The following is a 24,668-nucleotide window of genomic DNA, read 5'->3' as shown; positions in this document are numbered from 1 at the left end:
AAAGATCAAAAGAGACAAAGAAGGCCATTACATAATGGTAAAGGGATCAATTCAACAAGAAGCGCTAACTATCCTAAATATATATGCACCCAATACAGGAGCACCCAGATTCATAAAGCAAGTCCTTAGAGACCTACAAAGAGACTTAGACTCCCACACAATAATAATGGGAGACTTTAACACCCCACTGTCAACATCGGACAGATCAATGAGACAGAAAGTTAACAAGGATATCCAGGAATTGTACTCAGCACTGCACCAAGCAGACCTAATAGACATCTACAGAACTCTCCACCCCAAATCAACAGAATATACATTCTTCTCAGCACCACATAGCACTTATTCCAAAATTGACCACATAGTTGGAAGTAAAGCACTCCTCAGCAAATGTAAAACAACAGAAACGATAACAAACTGTCTCTCAGACTACAGTGCAATCAAACTAGAACTCAGGATTAAGAAACTCATTCAAAACCGCTCAACTACATGGAAACTGAACAACCTGCTCCTGAATGACTACTGGGTACAGAACGAAATGAAGGCAGAAATAAAGATGTTCTTTGAAACCAACGAGAACAAAGACACAACATACCAGAATCTCTGGGACACATTTAAAGCAGTGTGTAGAGGGAAATTTATAGCACTAAATGCCCACAAGAGAAAGCAGGAAAGATCTAAAATTGACACCATAACATGACAATTAAAAGAACTAGAGAAGCAAGAGCAAACACATTCAAAAGCTGGCAGAAGGCAAGAAAGAACTAAGATCAGAGCAGAACTGAAGGAGATAGAGATGCAAAAAACCCTTAAAAAAATCAATGAATCCAGGAGCTGGTTTTTTGAAAAGATCAACAAAATCGATAGACCGCTAGGAAGGCTAATAAAGAAGAAAAGAGAGAAGAATCAAATAGACGCAATAAAAAATGATAAAGGGGATATCACCACTGATCCCACAGAAATACAAACTACCATCAGAGAATACTATAAACACCTCTACGCAAATAAACTAGGAAATCTAGAAGAAATGGATAAATTCCTGGACACATACACTCTCCCAAGACTAAACCAGGAAGAAGTTGAATCTCTGAATAGACCAATAACAGGCTCTGAAATTGAGGCAATAATTAATAGCTTACCAACCAAAAAAAGTCCAGGACCAGACAGATTCACAGCAGAATTCTACCAGAGGTACAAGAAGAGCTGGTACCATTCCTTCTGAAACTATTCCAATCAACAGAAAAAGAGGGAATCCTCCCTAACTCATTTTATGAGGCCAGCATCATCCTGATACCAAAGCCTGGCAGAGACACAACAAAGAAAGAGAATTTTAGACCAATATCCCTGACAAACATCAATGTGAAAATCCTCAGTTAAATACTGGCAAACCGAATCCAGCAGCACATCAAAAAGCTTATCCACCATGATCAAGTGGGCTTCATCCCTGGGATGCAAGGCTGGTTCAACATATGCAAATCGATAAATGTAATCCAGCATACAAACAGAACCAAAGACAAAAACCACATGATTATCTCAATAGATGCAGAAAAGGCCTTTGACAAAATTCAGTAGCCCTTCATGCTAAAAACTCTCAATAAATTAGGTATTGATGGGACCTATCTCAAAATAATAAGAGCTATCTATGACAAACCCACAGCCAATATCATACTGAATGGGCAAAAACTGGAAGCATTCCCTTTGAAAACTGGCACAAGACAGGGATGCCCTCTCTCACCACTCCTATTCAACATAGTGTTGGAAGTTCTGGCCAGGGCAATTAGGCAGAAGAAAGAAATAAAGGGTATTCAATTAGGAAAAGAGGAAGTCAAATTGCCCCTGTTTGCAGATGACATGATTGTATATCTAGAAAACCCCATCGTCTCATCCCAAAATCTCCTTAAGCTCATAAGCAACTTCAGCAAAGTCTCAGGATACAAAATCAATGTGCAAAAATCACAAGCATTCTTATACACCAATAACAGACAAACAGAGAGCCAAATCATGAGTGAACTCCCATTCACAATTGCTTCAAAGAGAATAAAATACCTAGGAATCCAACTTACAAGGGATGTGAAGGACCTGTTCAAGGAGAACTACAAACCACTGCTCAACAAAATAAAAGAGGATACAAACAAATGGAAGAACATTCCAAGCTCGTGGATAGGAAAAATCAGTATTGTGAAAATGGCCATACTGCCCAAGGTAATTTATAGATTCAATGCCATCCCCATCAAGCTACCACTGACTTTCTTCACAGAATTGGAAAAAACTACTTTAAAGTTCATATGGAACCAAAAAAGAACCCACATTGCCAAGTCAATCCTAAGCCAAAAGAACAAAGCTGGAGGCATCATGCTACCTGACTTCAAACTATACTACAAGGCTACAGTAACCAAAACAGCATGGTACTGGTACCAAAACAGAGATATAGACCAGTGGAACAGAACAGAGCCCTCAGAAATAATACCACACATCTACAACTATCTGATCTTTGACAAACCTGACCAAAATAAGAAATGTGGAAAGGATTCCCTGTTTAACAAATGGTGCTGGGAAAACTGGCTAGCCATATGTAGAAAGCTGAAACTGGATCCCTTTCTTACACCTTATACAAAAATTAATTCAAGATGGATTTAAGATTTAAATGTTAGACCTAAAACCATAAAAACCCTAGAAGAAAACCTAGGCAGTACCATTCAGGACATAGGCATGGGCAAGGACTTCATGTCTAAAACACCAAAAGCAATGGCAACAAAAGCCAAAATAGACAAATGGGATCTAATTAAACTAAAGAGCTTCTGAACAGCAAAAGAAACTACCATCAGAGTGAACAGGCAACCTACAGAATGGGAGAAAATTTTTGCAATCTACTCATCTGACAAAGGGCTAATATCCAGAACCTACAAAGAACTCAAACAAATTTACAAGAAAAAAACAGACAACCCCATCAAAAAGTGGGTGAAGAATATGAACAGACACTTCTCAAAAGAAGACATTTATGCAGCCAACAGACACATGAAAAAATGCTCATCATCACTGGCCATCAGAGAAATGCAAATCAAAACCATAATGAGATACCATCTCACACCAGTTAGAATGGCGATCATTAAAAAGTCAGGAAACAACAGGTGCTGGAGAGGATGTGGAAAAACAGGAACACTTTTACACTGTTGGTGGGACTGTAAACTAGTTCAACCATTGTGGAAGACAGTGTGGCGATTTCTCAAGGATCTAGAACTAGAAATACCATTTGACCCAGCCATCCCATTACTGGGTATATATACCAAAAGGATTATAAATCATGCTGCTCTAAAGACACATGCACACGTATGTTTATTGCGGCACTATTCACAATAGCAAAAACTTGGAACCAACCCACATGTCCATCAATGAGAGACTGCATTAAGAAAATGTGGCACATATACACCATGGAATACTATGCAGCCATAAAAAACGATGAGTTCATGTCCTTTGTAGGGACATGGATGAAGCTGGAAACCATCATTCTCAGCAAACTATCTCAAGGACAAAAAAACAAACACCACACGTTCTCACTTATAGGTGGGAATTGAACAATGAGAACACCTGGACACAGGAAGGGGAACAGCACACACCGGGGCCTGTTGTGGGGTCGGGGAATGGGGGAGGGATAGCGTCAGGAGATATACCTAATGTAAATGACGAGTTACTGGGTGCAGCACACCAACATGGCACACGTATACATATGTAACAAAACTGCACGTTATGCACATGTACCCTAGAACTTAAAGTATAATAAAAATAAATAAATAAAAGAAGAAGGGTCTGCTTTGCCAACACTAACTGTAGTTTAAAGCTTCAAATTTACACTGGTGTTAGTCTAAAAATAGGCAGATTTGTGGAACAGAACAGAAAGCTAAGAAACATATTGTAAATTTTAAAATATATATAACTCCAGTATATGGCAAAGGTGACATTTCAAATTAATGAGAAAAGGGTTCATAATTCAATGTTATTTCCGAATAATGTATTATTTAATACATATCTCCCTGTTTTACATTAGATACCAAAATGAATTTTTGATGTATTAACAACTAGATGTAAAAATATGAAACTATTAAAAATATATAAAAATATTAAAGCCTCTGAGTGAAGTGCATTTTTGTTATTGGTATAAGAAATAACATGAACAAAAAAAGGAAACTCTTCAATTATTTTCCTAAATTATAAACCATGTTTTATTTCCCTTTTCTATGCATAATTTCATAATGAAAACCTCACGTATGTTAATTCTAGTGTTGCTTCTACCAGAAGAGCTACATGGCTTTGGTTAGCACCTTAAAATATCCAAATTCAAATATTTTAATTGCTAACATGGTTATAAAAGTATTTCAACTGTCTCTGAGTCTTAGACTTTTTTATCTCTAAGGAAAAAGATAAGAAAAAAAAAGTGAATTGGGAGTAATGCTTACTGTCTGGGAAAATTCCTTAAGAAGTTTCCAATTATTGTCTTGCCCAGAGGTAAGGAAAAGTGTAGAAAAGTGAGTCAGTTTTTAAATTCCAAATCTTATGGGAAAACAAAGAGCGAAGAATCACATTAGCTAGTCAGCAAGACAACAGCAATCGTGTGAAAAATTCTTTGAATACTAAACTTTGTTTCCTTAACTGAAATACATCAATTGAGCAGAAATTATTATGCTCAGCAATTACAAATAACTTGAATGAGTTTTAGAAGTAAAATAAATCAACACGGAGCCTTTCAACGTTTCCTGGAATGGTCTCCTGAAGACGGGTCGGGGGGTCCATGGTGCCCGGGAGAACTCAGAGAAGATCGAGCCCTGGTCTGAGGTGGAAGCTGGGGCGGTTGCACACCCACTGGAGAGGTGACCCTGAGACACTGCCCCAAGCCTCGAGTTTTCATCCACAGTCAGGGAGTCATCTCAGAGGGACCATGCGTGTGACAGCTGGTCTAGCCACTTCCATGCAGCGGGCATGCCTGGACGGACATCACCTTCCCCTGGAGGAGGCCTGGCCTGGGACGGCTGGGAAGAGTGAGTGGAGTTGGAGCAACGCTGGCTCCACAGCCTCCTGCCCCTCCTTCTTTTCCCAGGACACCAATAAACCTATTTTCCTTCTTCTTAATATTGTGTGTTAAGTGCTTAAGTCAATCCTTCCACAAGGCGAGACAAGAAAGATTTAGATAAGCCTTTTTGCTTTAATTCAAGGTAACAGCTAGAGTCATCAAAGAGAAATCAATAGCAACAGGGTGCCCAGGAAATGGGGATTTTTACGGATTCTAAGCAGTGTGAAGTTGTGAGTGAAGACAAACCTGGAAGCTTGACTCAAGGCTGCAGGACATAGAGTGCAACAAAGATTTGATTGTAAAGAAGCTAAAGATCAAGTTTCCTCCAGCTGCACACCTCAGACCAGAGAGGCATGCTCTTGTTTCACATTGAAGACAGAGGGATTCCAATGAATGGTGAAAAATTCAGCCAGTCATGGGGCATTTTCCTTAAGCACTACGGAAAATGTATTCATTTGGAAAACACAATTCTAGATTTTTCAGACGTTCAGGATCGTGAAGACAGGAATAACTATCACAAGACATTTCAATATGTGGGTTTTCAATATTCTTACCAATCACATGCAATTCAAAATTAGAAAGAAGCTCATGGAAGTAGGTTGTAATCTAAGAATTTCTCAGGGAATGGGAAGATTCTTATAAACTCACCTATTTAGGTTCATGCTTCTTGCACATGGGCATACCTTCGTGGTTTGGTCAAACTATTGTTTATCAACAAGGAGTCTCAAATTGAAAAGAGGGAGGCAAACATAAACACTGTCTGTAAATACCAGAAGTCGTCACCAAAAGCAAAGCTTCTGTTACAGCTAATGTCAGACCTATGCAGTGCTAATTGGAGATGGAGCTATAACTTAATAACTAAGACAGGCTTTCAGCACGGATTCCATGGCAACAAAGTCATACCTAGAAACCAGGCTTTACTTCCTTAGTGATAAGTGAATAAAATATGTTTTATTTTTATGGCATGGTCAGTTTAGTAGAGGAAGTCACATTGCTTTTACAAGAGAAAAGGAATTATATCTGAGGGGGAAGCTCTAATATATAATCTGCTTTCATACTAACACAATTAGAAGTGTACACGGTTCGCCTGCTGGAGTTATCAAATAGGCAGTGGCTCTTGCTAGGATCAGTTGCATCAACACATTTAGACATCACTCTTTACAGCATTTCTGCCACTGAAGTATGTGGAAATTCAATACAGTAATAATACGCATGTTCTTAGCATTATGACAATACCTAACGCTTGTGGGGCTTGAAACCTAAATGACGAGTTGACAGGTGCAGCAAACCACCATGGCTCATGTATACCTATGTAGCAAACCTGCATGTTCAGCAAATGTATCCCAGAACTTAAAGTAAAAGAAAAAAAAAAGAAAAAAATAATAATATGCACATTCTTATTTCTCATTCTCTGGAGGCTACTAAAATGCCTACCTAAATTTCAAAAAGCCTCAACACTTCAGTAAAGAAGGAAAAAGAAAAAATAGATTCGATGCAAACTTTTATTTTAAGCAAAAATATTTCTCTTTTTCTAAGGTCATCTTAGAGTTCATTTAGAAAGTGTCCTTTTACTTAAGATAAACTTGTACATTTTTGTTCTTTTTTGGAGCAAAGATACATCTTATTTAATCTCTTCTCCTCAGGGTGTGATATTTATTTAGAGGGCCTTTCTAAATTTTGATATAGCTCACAAAGTTAAATTTACTTTGAGACTCTCAATAACTTTTCAGAGTAAAAGGGGATCCTGAAACCAAAAAGCTTGAGAAACACTGCCATGGGTCATCACCTGATTTCACAACACGAGGCTTCTGGGCTTAAAGAGTGAGACATGGTATTGACAATGGATTCAAATCCCAGTGCATTTTCTGCCATTAGAGGAACAAGTTATTCCTCTCCAGCCCTGGAATAGGAAATCGCTACAGGCCAGACTGATGCTCATTTGGAATCCTCCTAATTTGCATGTACATTTAACAATAATAACGTCAGTGTCAGTCTTTCCCAGCCTCTCCTTTTCTTCAGTATCTGATTCCTGCTACTAATTAAGTAGAGCTCTGCCTTTTGAGATAAGTGAGTTTGCCAGAATATTCCATTTGGTCTTGATTTCTTCTTAATTTTAAGTTCCTTCAACTTTAAATAATAAAATAAAAGAACAGATGCACCACACTGTATTAGTAAAGGATGCTGGCAGCTCTTTTGGTCCTACAGCAACAATACACGGCCCTCAGATCCAGGATTCTGCAAGGGCCGGCCTGAGCTTTTCGTTGCATTCTCAGTTCCACGTGATTGATTGAGTAAACATCTTAGGGGCACCTGTAGGTTCACTATACCAGATGCTGGGATAAGGACATCAATGGTTAACACTTAAATTACCATTACTGTGCAGCAAGTCATTCATAGCCCGGTTTGTTGAAGCCTCATGGCAGTTTAGAGGGCAAATCCTATTATTAACTCCATTTACAGATCAGAAAACTGGGGCTCAAAGTGTTTTATTAATCTATCCAATGATATAAACTCTCCTTGCAATTCAGCCTCTCAGATACCTAAGCTCTTAACCACAGTACTCTACTGCCACTAAAATAATGCTAATGATAACAATAAGAGTAATAGAAAGTTGAATTCGTTTCTGCCCAGGAGAGGCTCACACCCACCTAGAAGGGAGAGAAAAAATAACAATGCAAACTAGAAAATGCTACCGTCAAGGTTTCCTATATGCATTTAATAAATATTTTATGAATGCTTGAATAAATTAAGGATCGTGTTAAAAAGCTATCACAGTATGGCAAGCAGTTTAATTGGTTCAACCCAGACGACTTGGGGAGGGCTGTAACTAGATGGTGACATGCAAACCAAACCTTAATTCTTATGAGGAGTTTACTTCAGAAAAATGTGGGGACTTTCCAAGGAGCAGAAGGAGAGCCCAGGAATGGTTTTATCCTGAACAAAGCTATAAGATGGTGAAAAGTCTGAAAAAAAGTAAGGAAAACTGTACCCAGGAGCCCAGTGGGCACCCATTGGGACAGGAGAGGGGGCTGGCGCAGCAGGTTATGATTGACAGGGAAGAGCCGGGTGGCTGTCCGAGGATGCCCTTGACTTTCTCTAGACAGGAAGAAGCCAGGGCAGGAGAGCCACGAAGAGACCTGACTCGGTGTTTCAGAAGCTCCAGTAAGGGTGCAAGGCGGATGTGTGAAAGAGAGCTGAGTAAGCGGAGCATTTAGTGGGCTGCGTGGGGCCCTGGTGGTCCTTTCATGCTCAGAGTGAAGGGCTAGGACGCTTGGTTTCCATTGCTATGTTGAGTCGCTGTGGTAGCTACGAAGATTCCTCAAAGTTGTCTCAGGTATGAGGGTTGACCCTAATCTCCCGATGGACCTTAAGGACCTTAAGCTCTGGATGCAGGGGGAGGGTGGATGCATGCACACATGCACACACACACAGAGACACATGTACAGATGCACACGCACAGACACATGCACACACACACAGACACATGCACACACACAGACACATGAATATGTGCATGTGCACACACAGAGACACTTGCACATGTGCACACTCACACATACACACGTGCACACAGACACATGCACAGATGCACACGCAGACACATGCACACACACAGACACATGTACAGATGCACACGTACACATGCACACACACAGACACATGAACATGTGCATGTTCACACACAGAGACACTTGCACATGTGCACAGACAATACACACGTGCACATGCACACAGGCACATGCACACACACACATGCACACACAGAGACATGCACACATGCACACGTGCACACAGAGACACACGCACACATGCACACACGCACACATGCACACACACACAGAGACACACACATGCACAGGCACAGACACATGCACACATGCACATGCACAGACACGCACATGTGCACAGAGTCACATGCACAGACACACACACGTGCAGAGACATGCACACATGCACACGCAGACACATGCACACGTGCACAGAGACACACGCACACATGCACACACATGCACATGCACAGACATGCACACATGCACACAAGACACATGCACACATTCATAGATGCACACACAGACATGCGCACATGCACACACAGACACATGCACACGTGCACACACATATTCACAGATACACACGCACAGACACATGCACACATGCACACTCACAAATGCATACGTGCACACACAGAGACACATGCACACGCACAGAGACACATGCACACGTGCACACACACAGACACATTCACGATGCACACGCACAGACACATACACACGTGCACACACACAGATGTCTGTTTCCACAAGAAGGAGGCTGTGTCTGGGCTATGGCCTTTAGTGTATTCTGCTTTTCAATGAAGTTTCATTTCTTGTTGCCACTTCTTTCTAAGCCAGTGTATTAGTCTGTTTTCATGCTGCTGATAAAGACATACCCGAGACTGGGAAGAAAAAGAGGTTTAACTGGACTTACAGCTCCACATGATTGGGGAGGCCTCAGAATCACGGCGGGAGGAGAAAGGCGCTTCTTACATGGCAGCAGCAAGACAGAATGAAGCAGCAGCAAAAGAGGAAACCCCTGATAAACCCAGGAGATCTCGTGAGACGTATTCACTATCATGAGAATAGCACGGGAAAGACTGGTTCCCGTGAATCAATTATCTCCCCCTGGGTCCCTCCCACAACACGTGAGAATTCCGGGAGATACGATTCAAGTTGCGATTTGAATGGGGACATAGCCAAACCATATCAGCCAGCAATCTGGATTTACCAAGGGCTGTGTTCTCTTTCCTGAATCACGATTCTCACACTGTTGACCCAACATAGGGAAACATTCTATCCCATTTGCAGTACAATTTCATGGCTCCAGATAAGTTCAACTCCTGTTGCTCCTGGTTAGTCGGAGTGTGGATCCAGGGAACTGCTGGAAATTCCACATCGCTTACTATATTTCCAGTAGCCAATAACATAAAAATAAAATGGCGATTTAAAAACATAGAATAAGGCATCTTGGGCCTCACACAATTTCCTGAATCAGAGTCTGCATCTTGGTAAACCCTGTGGCAATGCGGAGACCCAGCCAGGTACTGCTTTTACAAGTAAAGAATACTGTGAAAACCTACAGTGTCGTGCGCTAGGATTGCTTTTCTTGTGTTTTTAAATACTTTCCAATTTCCCACAGAGTATTTCAGAACTGATGGTAATTGCCGAACAGCGTCCCGAATCTAAGGCCAAACTCCTTTTCCATCCCTGTCTCTCAGTCTACGCTTCTTGGTGACATTTTTGGATCAGATGGGACTACTGGCTCTCTCTTGAAATACGGTGGTAATGTCTCTCCGCATTAACTTACTAAAGTCTTTTGTTTATTTCACAGCTTTATTGCAGTATAACTGGTACACAAACACTCTGCACATCTTTAATGCATATGATGTGATGGGTTTGGGCATAGCTTACACCCATGAAACCATCACCATATCGAGGTGATGAATATACCCATTCCATCCAAAAGTTTCTTTGTGTTTCTGTGTATTTTTTATTTTTTTTGGTAAGGGAAGACAAAGACAAGGCCAAGAGTAGCACCAGAAAATATAAGAGGGTCGATCTCGTGTCAAGTGAGATTTACATTTCAAGTGCACAATGCAGTATTTACATTTTCAAGTGTGCAATGCAGCATTTTCAAGGACACTTCAGTGCAGTGTTGTTAGCTATAGGCACTGTGCTGTACTGCCGATGTCTACAGCTATCCACCCTGCACCACTGAAACTCTACCCACTGAACAGAAACCCTTCCCCCTCGCCCTAGTAATCACAATTTTACTGTCTGCTTCCATATGTTTGACTAATTTAGAGAACTCATGTAAATGAAATCATTCAGTATTCGTCTTTCTGTGGCTGACTTCTTTCTGTTAACATAATGTCCTCAAGGTACATCTACGTTGTTGCACATGGCAGGATCGCTTTCTTGGTTAAGGATGAATAATATCCCACTATAGGAATATACCACATTTTCCTTATCCATTCCTCTGATGATAGACGTTTGGGTTGTTTCCATATCTTAGCTATTGAGAATAATACTGCAATGAACACAGGAGTGAAGATATCTTTTTGACATACGCATTTCACTTCTCTTGGATTTTATGTTGAAAAATGGAATTGCTGAATCATGTTGAATCAATCTATTTTGATTTTTTCATGAACCTCTATACTGCTCTCCATAATGGCTGCACTAATTTACAATCCTATCAACAGTGTACAAGGTTTCTAATTTCTCTGCAATATCATCAACACTTCTTTTTTTAAATAATAACTATTCTCACAGGTATGATGTAATATCTCATTATGGTTTTGATTTGCATTTCCCTGATAATTAGTGATGTTGAGCATTTTCTCATAGATCCTATTGGTCAATTGTATGTCTTCCTTGAAAAAAATGGCTATTTAAGACTTTCATTCATTTTTAAAATCATATTATTAGACTATTATTGTTTTACTACTGAGTTGTAAGAGCTTTTTTTTATATAGTTGGGTGTAAGCCTTTTATCATCTGAGGCTGATAATGATTTGCAAATAGTTTTCCCCAATCCATAGGCTGCCAGTCAACAAGATGAAAAGTTCACCTATGGGTTCTGTTGATTGCTTCATTTGCTGTGCAGAGATTTTTAGTTTGATGTAGTACAATTGTCTCTTTCTGCTTTTATTGCTTGTGCTTTTGATGTCCTAGCCAAGAAATCATTGCCAAGACCAATATAAAGAAGGTTTTCCCCTATGTTTTCTTTCAGGAGCTCAATCATTTCAGGTCTTACATTTAAGAGTTTGACCCAGTTTGAGTTGATTTTTGTGTATGATATAAGATAAGGCTTCAATTTTAATTTTTTGCATGTGGATATCCAGTTTTTCTAGCACCATTGTTGAAGAGACAGTTCTTTCCCCAATGTGTGCTCTTAGGAACTTGTCCAATATCAGTTAACCATTGTGGTTTGAATTTATTACTAGGCTCTCTCTTCTGTTTCATTTATCTATGTGTCTTTATGCCACTGCCAGACCTTTTTCAATTACTGTTGGTTTGTGATATATTTTGGAATCAAGAAGTGTTATGACTACAGTTTTCGGAAAGATGTGATGTTCATGGATTGGAAGAGTCAATATTGTTAAAACGTCCGTGCTACTCAAAGTGACCTGCAGATTCAGTGCAGTCCCCATCAAAACCCCAGTGACATTTTTTACATAAATAAAAAAAAATCCTAAAATTCATATGGAACCACTGAAGCTTTTTCTGTACCTGATATACCCCTAGCCAGTCTCTCTATCTAGTCAACTCTTACTCATTCCTTAAAAAGCACATTGACTATTTTCTTAACTCATTGACTATATTAAAATCCAGAGTTTTTTTTTTATTTTCTGAATTGGCCCCTTGTTTATGATTTTGCTCATACAATGTCTCAATAAATTAAATGTATTTTAAAAGAAAATTGTTTATAAGCCTTATGAATTGGAAAGTGATCCTCAAGGCATAGACCACACAGTGCTCGAAGCCCAGTAGGTGAAGAGCAAGTATCTGTTAAGTAAGAAGGCAACCCAGTGGATGAAAGTCTCTGAGTGATTGGTCACTTCAGGTGTTAACGAGTTCCTCTCACCACCCCCAGCCCCATGGCTCAGCCTGGTGGTCCAAGAACTCTCCTTTCTTGACTACAACTCTGCTTCCAGCAGTGCCCTTCTCTCCTGAGGCTGACTCTAAAATGGTCAGCTATAAGCTTTTTGAGAACAGAAGCCATAAGTCAAATTTTTCTATTTTCTACAATATTTGAAAGTTGGTCTTGCACAGAACAAGTTCCAAAATCTGTTCTTGCACAGAACAAGTTCCAAATACAACACTATTGACTGATTGAAAAACATGTACTATGTGATAAGTGTGATACAGGTAATACATTTTATATTGATGAAGTACTGTTCTGACCTCTGCAATGAGTTTTCGTGTTCAGTGGTGTCAGGGCACTTTGTGGCGTCGTAAGACTGGAGGCCCATCTTCAGTTATTTTTGTGTGGAACCTAGAATAATCACAAAACACATATTCAAACACTTGATAAATGCTTTGAATCACGACAGTGGACCGTCCACCACTTCTAAGGGTCAGTGTTTAAGATAATTGCCTCTAATATCATTATTATTTATACTTTTACCTTTTGTGGTAGAAATTGAAACTTCAAAGGTTGAAGGCAACTTACTTAACCTCCTAGAAAATTCAAAAGAGGCACTGACTTCATGAGTTGCTATGACTCAAACTGATGAACAAAACCCAAAGTCCTTTCAGAAGAAAAGTTCCCTGAAAAGAACGTAGGAGGTTCTCATCACTTGGCCAAATACCACTGTGCTTAACCTCTTCACAAAGAGGAAGAAAGCCTTCCCTTCTGGCTAATCAGTTTCTCTCACTCACGTCATCATTTGGCCACTTTTTGGAATAAAAGATTACAGTGATGTTACACTATGTTCATTGTCAGGGCGGTCACTAAAGATGACTGTCTTAACTTTAGTTTCTGTGCCAGAATCTTGACTCACTTTTCTCACACAACGAAGTGGGAAGAAGCAATCACTTGTTCAGGGCTGGAACAGAATGAATGACTTGGTGGTCATGGGCATCTGTTCCTCACAACCAGCCTCTTTCTTTAAACGACATGGATGGCATCAACATGCAGGCTGCCCGGAAGAAGGGGCAATGTCTGTCACCATGGAGACCAAGAGCAGCTAGCCACGCTGCTGGCTCCAACCTCTTCTCAGTGGCGGTGGGAACTGGATTTTGAGGATGGGGTTTCGCAACTAACAGGATAAACCAATGACTTCCAGAAGTGCTGTCATTAGGAAACATCTCAGAATCTGTTGTGCTGAACTTAAATTTTAAGTAATTCTGAAGAGCGTTGACACCTTTAGAAACCAAGTTTTGTCAGGCAAGAGATCCACACTGGTTCAAAGCCAAGCAGGTTTTGTCTTCTGGGTGCAAAGGAGCATTGCTTGCATATCCTGGGGAGGGGAGATTCTGAGCTGGAAATGTTGGATTTCATTCCTGGCTGCAGAACTTCATTGCTGCAGGGCTTTTGACAATTCATTTACCTTCTCCCTGCTTCCACTTTCTCTATATTTCTATCAAATATGTGCTAACTCAGGATTGAGTTCAGCTGGATATAGAATCAGAGGATAATTTAGTGTGAGAGACAACTGCAAATCCACCATATATTTTTTTAATCCGGGTGTCAGTTAACTTTTTTGGCAAATAGAGCTTTTTACTGCGATTGTTGTCGCTGATTGTTGGAGGGTGGAGGAGGGAAGTATTGTGGTGTGAGTGACAGGGCAGTTATCTGTTGATGCAGAGCTGGGACAAGGATAGTCCCCCTCGTCCCCACACAGGCCGGCTGCTCCCGTTTTGTTAACCAACAAATGGAAATTCCGCCCTCTTGAAGAAATGATTTCAGGAGGAATATACACCTTATTTTGCAAATAATCACATAAATTAGTGGAAAATCTGTGTCTGATATTTGTGAGAGAAGGCTGTGCACAAGTAACCACCCAGCAGAAGGTGCAGGAACTGCCAAGTTGTTAGAACCACTGGACCTCCTGTTTCAGGGACGGTTTGATCAGGCAGGTGTAAGAGGAAGAATGGATGGATTCTAGCAACCCTGAGTTAGTGCGGGTAATAAATGACAAGATTAAAAGGAGCTATTGTAAATAAATCAGAGAGAGAGATAGCCATCAAGAGGTTATTTGTTTCTGTGGAATGGGTTCTCAAAGTCACTAAGTTTTTGGTGGAGAAAGGCATGTTAATATTTACACTAATCTTGGAATGAGTGAGGTAACTGTATGTAGCAGCAGCTAGCTCAGAAGTAGGTCTGTGTGTGAAGCCTGTGGTAGGTGAGCTGGAGGGGGAGTCCCGGCCGTCAGCACTCGCCTCTGGGAGCCCTACTCGGAGTCTATGAAAATCCCTAGAAGATGCATCCCGTTTCAGTAACCAAAGCTCACCACCAAAATTATCAGTCTTATTAAGGTTTTCTTTCATTGACTTATGCTAATTAAAATAAATGTAATGCAAACATTAAAAATGTGTTGTACAAAGAGGGCCTCATTTTTAATACAGAAACTTCCTATAACACAGATCACCCTAAGACTAGCAACGGTAACCAAAATGTGCATTGTTTTAAGTGACCACCATGGACATAGCAAATATTTATGCAACTTCTGTGTATTCAGAACACAAAACAGTCATTTTATTCCAAATAACCTCACTGAAAAACTTCACAAACGACATTATAATTGCTCTCTTCAGGTGATTTTATTTTTATATTGGTGTCATCTTATCCTAGAATCTCCCCGTGGGATGTACCACATAATACAAGGAGAAGGTTACAGAAAGGCAAAGCCACTGCAGGCTGCCTGGCTTTTAAGCTATGAGAGATTTCCCAATATATGATTTAGTTATGACTGTGTTATAACTCAAATCATGTGATATAGAGGAGTGATGCAATTGCTTAGAAACGCCATGAAATTATTTTTATTGAGCCTAACAATAACAGTGTCAACAAAAACAGACAATAAACATTTCAGTTGAAACTTTACAAATTTTATAAAAATTAAATGACTGCCTTTTAAATTCACTAAGCTAGATCATTGAATTATTTCTATATGAATGATACTTAAAAATTAGTTCAGAAAAACATTGTGTTGACAGTTTTTTGTGTTAATATTAATACATAAAGCATTGAGATAGGGATTATTTTAAAAATGAATGCAGTCTAGGTTTAAATCCCTTATGTGTGTGAGTGGGTGTGACAGTGTGGTTGTGTGTAAGTATATGGTTGTGATTGTGTAGTTGTGTGAGTATACGGTTGTGTAATTGCGTAGTTGTATGTGCATATGTGAGCATGTGGTTGTGTGTATGCTTGTGCAGTTGTGAGTTTATGATTGTGTGTGTGATTGCACAGTTGTATGTGCATGTGTGAGTATATGGTCATGTGTGAGTGTGTATGATTGTGTAATTGTGTGTGTAAGTATAGAGTTGTATGTGTGATTGGGTAGTCCTATGTGCATGTGTGAGCATGTTATTATGTGTATGTGATTGTGTTGTGTGTAATTGTGTATTTGAGTGTGTGAGTATATGGCTGTGTGTAATTATGCAGTCATATGTGCATGTGAGAGCATGTGACCGTGTAGGAAAGTGTGTGATTGCAGTTGTGAGTTTGAGTATATGGTTGTGTGTGTAGTTATGCGTGCATGTGTGAGCATGTGGTTGTGTGAGTACACAGTTGTGTGTGTGACTATGTAGTTGAATGTACATGTGAGAGTATGTGACCATGTATGAATGTGTGTGCCTGAAGTTGTGAGTTTGAGTATATGGTTGTGTGTGTGATTGTGCAGTTATGCGTGCATGTGTGAGCATGTGGTTGTGTGTGTGTGTGTGTAGTTGTGTGCATGAGTACAGGGTTATGTGTGTGACTGTGTAGTCGTACGTTCATGTGTGACCATGTGGTTGTGTATGTGTGTTTGTGAGGATAGGGTTGTGTGTGTGATTGTGTAGTCATGTGTGTATGTGTGAGCCTGTGGCTGTGCATATGTGAGTGTGTAGTTGTGTGAGTATAGGGTTGTGTGTGTGACTGTGTAGTCGTTTGTGCATGTGTGAGCACATGGCCGTGTGTATGTGTGATTGTAGTTGTGAGCTTGAGTATAGGGTTGTGTGTGTGATTGTGTAGTTATGGGTGCATGTGTGAGCATGTGGTTGTGTGTGTCTGAGCTATTGTGTGTATAGGAGAGGAGAATGGGGAGGGAGTAAACGCTGCCCGTTATTAAATATTAATGTTCTGCAAATCCCAAGTTTATGAAGCCCTGCGTTCACTTGAGAAGCTTCTCTGAACCATGTAGACATCTAACAGAGATTCTTTACAAAGATTTGTATCCCTCTTTAATTCGATCATTAGGACCAAGATTAAAGGAGCACAGGCCAGGCGTGGGGGACAGTGCGATGTCCCTGCGTCCTCCTGGGCCCGAGCAGAGCTTGGCTTCGGACACCAGGTTCCCCAGCTCGGCGCCTCCAAAGTGTGGCCAGTTCTTCCCTCTCAAGCTTGAATTATTTATGCGTCATTTCAGAAGCACGAGCTAGACTTCAGTTTTAAACACAGGAGTAAATTTCCTTTCGGAGTCCTTTGATTTCACAATAATAAAGGACATAAAGAAGGAAAGTGGATTCGCTTCTGACGTAAAAGTTAAGGAATCTATGAATATGTGTGATATGGACCTGATAAGCCTGAGACTTTCTTCAGTCAAACGTATTCGAAAGGACGACGCCCTCTTTTTCGTGCTAACTCATCTGCCTCGGCGAGCCCTTCTTCCCTCCACGGAAAGGAAAATCCATCTTGTCTCTTCAAAGCGTTCTGGTTGCTTTGGGTTAATGGTCTCTTTCCAGTAAATATTCATTCGCATTCTGGAAGGGTCCTTGAGGCCACCACTCAGCTCCGAGCCTCGTGGTTCCCCGCTCGCCCTCCTTCCCTTGGGTCATTCACTGCAAAGAATTTAAGGACCGCCGAAGGGCCCACTCTGCAGAGCGGAACCCCTGCAGGGGCTGTCCGGGCCCTGGTCCCAAGACCCTGGCTCTCTCGGCGGGGATGGCGTCGGGGGATGGGCCCTGGCATGGCAGCTCTTCCCAGCACCGTGTCCCCTGCACCACTGCACAGCCTCGGTGGGACGGGCCAGCGGACCCCCGTGCTCACTCACCTTCTTGGCCACACACTCTCAGGTTGCAGCACTCGGGCAGACCCGTGGAGCTCAGTTCCCACAAGGAACGAGCGGCTCTTCTCTGCCCTGCAGCCTCTTGGGGGGACCTTCCACCTGTGCCTCGGTGCGCCCCGTCTCCAGGTCCTGCCCGTTGAAGACCAGCCCTGGGTGGAGGCGCACATGTGCAGTCCGAGGTCAAAACGCGCACGCGACACACCTCAAGAAATGGACATTTCTAGCCCCGAAACATTCCACGTCTCCTCCTGTCTTCTCTCCGAAGTTTCTCACTGGGAAGCAGCATCATGCATGTGCCTGTGGGAGGGTCTCTTTGTGGACACAGAAAAGCCGCCGCAGACGGTGTATGATCATTTGGTGTCACTTCTTTCGTGCATCAACACGTTTGGCGATTCACTAGTATTGTTTTACAGAGCTGTAATTCCTTCATTTATAGTACTGTATAGTTTTCTCTAAATGAATCATTCATTCTACTTTTTTCTTTTACGGTTTGTTTATTTTTAGACAGGGTCTTGCTTTGTGGCCAGGGCTGGAGTGCAGTGGCACGATCTAGGCTCACTGCAATCTCGACGTCCGAGGCTCAAGTGATCCTGCCACCTCAGCCTCCTGAGTAGCTGGGACTACAGGTGCACACCACTATGCTCAGCCAATTTTTTAAACCGTTTTTTGTAGAGACAAGGTCTCACTACATTTCTCAGACTCATCCATTTGACTCTTGACGGCCACTGGGTTGATGTTGCCCTGGGGTTATTTTGAACAGTGCTGCTGTGAGTGGGTTTTGTATGTCTCCTGGTGCATGTGTGTATGCATTTCTGCAGCATTTCACATTTTTGGTGCTATTGTAAATGGCATATTTTTAAATGCTTACTTTTAAATCATTGTTCTCAGTAATGTCATATACTAATTTGTATCCAGCAACCTTGCAAAACTCACATATTATTTATAATATTTTATATAAAACTTTATTTTATTTTTCTAAGTATATAATCTTATATGAAAATGGTGAGTATTTTTCCCTTACTGATATTTTTTTTTTCCGTATTACACTGGCCTGATTTCCCATAAAAGGTTGAATGAAATTGTTGAGAATAGCTCACCTTGTTTTTATTATCAAAGGGAAAGCTACTGCATTTCACCATTATGTATGATGTTTAACATAGTTTTATGGCAGCTAGCCTATATAAAATAAAGAAAGCTTCCGTTTCTTTCTAGAAATTAATGAAATATGTACAAAATTTATACACTGACTATATCAAACATTACTGAAGAGAATTTTAAAATTCTTACATTAAAGGTAAAATACACATTGCTCATGAATTGAGGGTAGTACGTAGGTCAATGTCTTCAAAATTGATTTGGGTATTCAATCCAATCCCAATCAACATTTGAAGAGAAAGGAAGAAAACTAGAGATGGTAAGACTGCTCAATTCTGGTTTTAGCAGGAATTGTTTAAGACATTTGTGTATTTTATAAGAGTAATTTGATTGAATCAGAAAAAAAGTCTTTAAGTCTACTTAAACAGTAGAGTAAAACCAGCCACAAATGACAAGACAATGAAGAGAACAAGCAGGCAGGGAGTCCCTGTCAGCCTCCTACTACAAGGGCTGATGTCAATCCACATGCATTTGTGAGGTGCTATTTATGTCTTACTTGCAGATAAATATTAAATACATACACAATTGTCGTGTTGTTATTTTTTCACACAAAATAATTACTTGCCTATTCTCTGGGTTTATATTCTACAACAGTGCCTGCTGAAGATTGCACGCAACTTTATTAGAGTGTGTTCATGGTATCGTGTGATGAGAAATAATAAACCAAAGCCTAGCTTTTACACAGGAAAATGCACCGTACATAGAGTCTTTCTCACCATTTAATTCCCTTTTTAAAATATTCTTTTTCAATTGCCATTGGTTTAAAAGTGGTTAATGCAAAATAATATATATAATATATATAAATAATATAATATATATAAATTATATATATATATATAAGGGAGAGAGAGAAATGTCCTTTTAAAAATATTTTTAGTATTAAAAAAGCTTTAGTATTAAAAATCATGCCTAAGGCATTTCTAAAGAGCGGTTTCAGTACAAGACAAGCTGATGACAGTGGTTTGTTTAACTCTATGTTTTTCTATTCATAAGTGATATTTGGAGGGTCTTTTTTTTCAGCCAGAGTGGTAGAGGGGGAGGATTCACTTTAAATTCCGTATTAACCTGAAGGATCAATACAGATTGCATAGTGTGCTCTGTAGCTTCCACTAATAAAGCAAATAGATGCAAAGTCATTAGGAGAGGGGTTAATTTTAAATATATAAGTTTCTTTAAAAAGTATGTGTTTAAAAGGCTGAGCATTTAGGAAAGTGTGATTTGAAATGAGCAAGTGCCATAATCCCACCAGTGCCAATATGTTCATTAATCATTTATTTGAATCACCTTTTAGTTGACGCCCTTCTCCCAAGACCCAAAATGTTATTGTAAAAGATGAGAATTATTTCAAGTTGAACTAAATGAGGCTGACATGAATTGGTGCCTGGTGATCTGAAGTGGAGGCTCTCAGTCCTGATTTGCAGTGGCACTGAAGGAAAGGAGCTGGACAGGGGAGGGTGGAATTTATATTTTCAAAGGCCACCTATTTAAAAGGGGACAAATCTATCTGTAGCTAAATGCAATTAATTGGTAGAAAATCAGAAAATCTAGAAATTTAGAATTTATCAACCTTTGAAACCAATAAAATATTTAAAATCATGTTGTTTCGCAAACTGTAAAAGATGGGCCATTGTTCTTGTTAGATTCCCTTTTCCATTTTATTTCTGGGGGGGGGAATAAAGAATTTAAATCAAATTTGAATCACCTGAAATAAAATTTTAGTGCAGCAAAGCACCTCAATTGTGTTTACTTCCATAAAATATTGATTTAATAAAATAATTGAAATATAATAATATAAAACCTATAGAGAAAAGGGGTTGAGAAATAATCTTTATCTAAAATTAATTCAAATAATTTATTTTGCTACTAGACATGGTGATGTATGTTACCTGTTAGAATTAGAGGTAGCAGTTTGATGAGGGAAAGAATAACATAAAAGAAAAAAATGACTGAGTCTTAGAAAAGATTTTGGATACAGCCACCAAAGTTGCCATTACACTTTAATTCCCTGAACTATTTGTTTTCAAAGCAAACTTTTCCTAATTTTCTTGTGTGTAAAGACAATGACAAATGTAGATGAAAACTATATTATAGAAATTTTAAAATGTAATGTACATCTTTTTCAAGGGTTACAGAGAAAAAGTATTTAGAAACAACAATTTGATGCCCAGCTAAACTGTCATTCAGGACAAATAAGTCAGTTTCAGATATGAGAGAGCCAAGATCACTTACATCAGAGTACATACTCAAGTATTTAAAAAAAAAATCCAAGAAGCAGACATGAGATCCAAGAGATAGAGCTTTAAACCAAAAACACACTGGGATAAATAAGAAACAACTCTGAACTACAGTTGAGTAAAATTGTTCCAAGTCAAACCTTTCAAACAGTAGAATCACTTTCAAAAGAGTGGATAATCTTATTTACATTTGTTTTCGCAATTATATTGAAAGGTGATTAGAAAATGACAGGAAAATGCCCAATAATTTTTGTATGAAAATTTTGGTCCACAGATAAATAAAACAATATGAATGTCTTAATTTGGAGCAATTGATGAAAGGTTAGGGATAGAAGGAAAAATAAATTGAGGCTGAAGTTGAAAATATTTTACTTTCTGTTTCATATCATTCTATAATTTTTGAGTTATTCACCCATGTTTATGTATTACAGGTACACAGTCCCTTTACTAAAACTCTTGGTGCCTTATGTGCTTCAGAATTAAGATTTTTTTCATATTATATAACATTTCAGGAGGTTCCGGGATAGCGCCTTGTTATCCAACATTCCACATGGGATATAGATTATAACTAGCCTCACATTAGTTCAGAACAGATTTAATAGTAAAAAAATGTATTTTAAAATGTATTTAGCTCACACCTGTAATCCCAGCACTTTGAGAGGCCAAAGCGGGCATTGAGGCCAGAAATTCGAGAGCAGTCTGACCAACACTGTGAAACTTCGTCTCTACCAAAAAGTACAAAAATTAACCGGGTGTAGTGGCACATGCCTGTAGTCCCAGCTACTCCAGAGGCTGAGGCAGGAGAATCACTTGAATCCGGGAGGAGACGATTGCAGTGTGCCAAGAATGCACCATTGCACTCCAACCTGGGTGACAGAGCAAGACTCTGTCTCAAAAATTAATAAATAAATAAATAAATAAATAAAATAAAAAATAAAAATACTCTTTATTTCCCAAAACTTTTGGGATTTTGTAATTACAGATAAGAAATTGTGGACCAGTACTTAGCCAATAAAATTAAACATACACGCATAGCTTCTAAGGCAGAGTCAAAGTAAAACTCACATATTCCATTTTCCTTTTTAGTTGCAGTGCACACTGTGCAAAGTGAAAGATAAGACATTTTGACCAAAGGCATCTTCCCTTTGACATAACAAAATAGAGTACTCAGGTCGCAAGAACTACGGTGATGAAATGGGAAAGCAATATTTCAAAGAACATCTGGTGAAAAGCATGATGAAGTCTCTGGGTGGATTTTGATGAAAGTGTTTCCATTAGTTGGCTAAAAACATAGTACAGCAAGAGCACGCCAATTTGCAAGTTAAGCAGCAAGGATTTCATGTTCTTTGCAATTCACAAATCTTTTTACTCTGCCTTTTTTTATATCATTACTAATTTTATTCTTCTACTAAGAATTATAATTTTTGTTTCCAGGCAAGAAAAGAAAAACTCCCATCTCAGATGAACAAAGTAGCAGATCACAATTTTAGGTGGTACCACTCATCCAAAAACCAGAGGACTTGGTTTATACATTTGCAGATAAAGGACTAGAGAACAGACTAGCCACCACATATACTAAGGTAACACACTCTTGCTACAATAAAGCTCAGAGATGCAAAATTAATAAACTACCCATAATTTCAAAATTATTTGATCAGGAAGTGTTCGTCGGGTGCGTAATGGAGAAAGGGAAGTATGACCGCCCTGCAAAGAAGGAACCACAGAGAAACGTCCTCGAGTGCTTACAGCAGCAAGGTGAGGAGAGAATTCGGTCACTGAGAACTGACTTCAAAAGGTAAATCACCTGTGCTCAGAAACTGGTGCAACAAATACTAATCAGAGAATAAAGGGCTGACTACAAAGATGATTCATAGAATTAATACTTATTTAAAAGTTAGGACTTGGTTTGAGCCTTAAAAAGGTAAGGTTGAGACTTGGTTTCACTAAGTTTCATCCAATATCATGACCTTTCATAAATCACACTTGGGACTGGTTGAGAGACTTGAGACTTCAGTAAAGGTGTACTTGACTGTGAAAGGTTTTCCTTGAGGACAGCATGGCGATGGGGCCCCAGGCTACTCACCTGTCTCAGGTTAGTGTTCTGCCTTTCTCCAGCCTTGGCGGGGGACATGGAGGAGTCAGCAGATCTGGGGTTCTGGATAATCCTGGCTTCTTGGGTCTTTCCTAGGTCCCAGGGCAGGACTTGTCACTGGCTCTCTTTATGAAGACGGTGATGGCCCTTGTCAGAGAGGAGAGGAGGATGGGTTTGCAGAAGGCAAGAGGTTAAAGGCAGGCACAGTAAACCAAGCAGGAGTGGGCAGCACAACGCTTCCTGCCCATGTGGCTTGGAAGGCTGGGCAGAGGGCTGGGTCAGGTGGAGAGTACTGAAAGCAAAAGTGAAAGGTGGGGTTTAGAACAGCTGTGACAAGATCGTGGGGGCTTTGCAGGTCAGGATAAGGAGCCTGAAAGTTGTTTCATGAGAAATAAATATTCACCGATGCTGTGGGGAACAGAGAGGAAACTCAACGAAAAGCAGATTTTGAGAAAGTGAATGAGATTACAATGTATAAATTTGATTAGTGGAATAAAAACTCTATGGGCAGAAATAATAGGTTTAATAATCTCTATGGGCAGAAAAAAACTCTATGGGCAGAAATAACAGGTCTAGTAATCTCAGTTTCAAGGAATCACAAATTGAACTAGAACGGTGCATTTGGAAGATACGTGGCAATGAATGCAAAAGACGTTTTCTAAGTAAATCCAAGATGATGTGATGGCTGTTAGGAAAGAAGGAAGGATCTCAGGTGTTTCCACGTTTTGAGGCTTGGAGATAGAGTGTTCTTGGCAAACAAGAGGTGTAAAGGAGAAAAAAATCAATTTGGATTTCAAGAATTAGGCATGTACGGTATGTTCAAGTGGGAACATTTAATAGGTAATGAGAGAACAGCAGTAGAATCTGAATGGAAGTATTGATTCAGGATCTGGGTATAGATTATTGAAACTATAACAGCTGATATAATCACCAAGAAAAAGAGATCTGCAAAGAAGCTTAACAAACTGAGTTCTGTGGCACATTTAGGTTACAGTAGAGGAAATGGGACTAACTAGAAGAGAAAGTAAACATCAGAAAATGAAATTACAAAGATAATATTCAAACAGTGTGGAATCACAGTAGCTAAGGAAAGAGAATTTCAATGAGACAGTGTTAAATGCTTCAGAGAAGTCCAGGAAACAGTGAATGGCTAAACTGGACCAGGACAAATTCATCATCACTCCCGCGAGAAAGAGGCACCACTCTCAATAAGAATGGGTCAGCAGGATGAGGAGAGACAGTTAGATAGATAGATAGATAGATAGATAGATAGATAGATAGATAGATAGATAGATAGGCAGACAGATACTTTTATTTATTTATATTTATTTTTTATTTTTTATTTTTTTGAGATGGAGTCTCGCTCTGTTGCCC

At 39.7% G+C, this 24,668-nt stretch overlaps 1 long non-coding RNA gene across 1 annotated transcript in view, besides 3 other annotated features; it reads right to left on the bottom strand.

The window, feature by feature from the left end:
- Positions 1–23,672, bottom strand: part of LOC107985172 (uncharacterized) — a 76,818-nt gene extending 53,146 nt beyond the window's left edge. The window contains exons 1-2 of the long non-coding RNA XR_001753512.2: positions 23,286–23,672; positions 13,006–13,096 (exon numbers count right to left, since the gene is read on the bottom strand). This is a non-coding gene — a long non-coding RNA (uncharacterized LOC107985172). The remainder of the gene's footprint in view (positions 1–13,005; positions 13,097–23,285) is intronic.
- Positions 4,425–4,948: an enhancer, noted in NCBI's record as "H3K27ac-H3K4me1 hESC enhancer chr18:75242936-75243459 (GRCh37/hg19 assembly coordinates)". NCBI's record gives its function as "activates a minimal SCP1, AML or CMV promoter by ChIP-STARR-seq in naive H9 embryonic stem cells {active_cell/tissue: H9 hESC(naive)}" and the evidence as "EXISTENCE:reporter gene assay evidence [ECO:0000049][PMID:30033119]".
- Positions 4,949–5,473: an enhancer, noted in NCBI's record as "H3K27ac-H3K4me1 hESC enhancer chr18:75242411-75242935 (GRCh37/hg19 assembly coordinates)". NCBI's record gives its function as "activates a minimal SCP1, AML or CMV promoter by ChIP-STARR-seq in naive H9 embryonic stem cells {active_cell/tissue: H9 hESC(naive)}" and the evidence as "EXISTENCE:reporter gene assay evidence [ECO:0000049][PMID:30033119]".
- Positions 8,714–9,475: an enhancer, noted in NCBI's record as "H3K27ac-H3K4me1 hESC enhancer chr18:75238409-75239170 (GRCh37/hg19 assembly coordinates)". NCBI's record gives its function as "activates a minimal SCP1, AML or CMV promoter by ChIP-STARR-seq in naive H9 embryonic stem cells {active_cell/tissue: H9 hESC(naive)}" and the evidence as "EXISTENCE:reporter gene assay evidence [ECO:0000049][PMID:30033119]".
- Positions 23,673–24,668: the final 996 nt, after the last annotated feature.

Source organism: Homo sapiens, chromosome 18 (genome assembly GCF_000001405.40).
Source record: "Homo sapiens chromosome 18, GRCh38.p14 Primary Assembly".
Lineage (NCBI taxonomy): Eukaryota > Metazoa > Chordata > Mammalia > Primates > Hominidae > Homo > Homo sapiens.
This window is presented reverse-complemented; position numbering and strand designations above follow the sequence as displayed.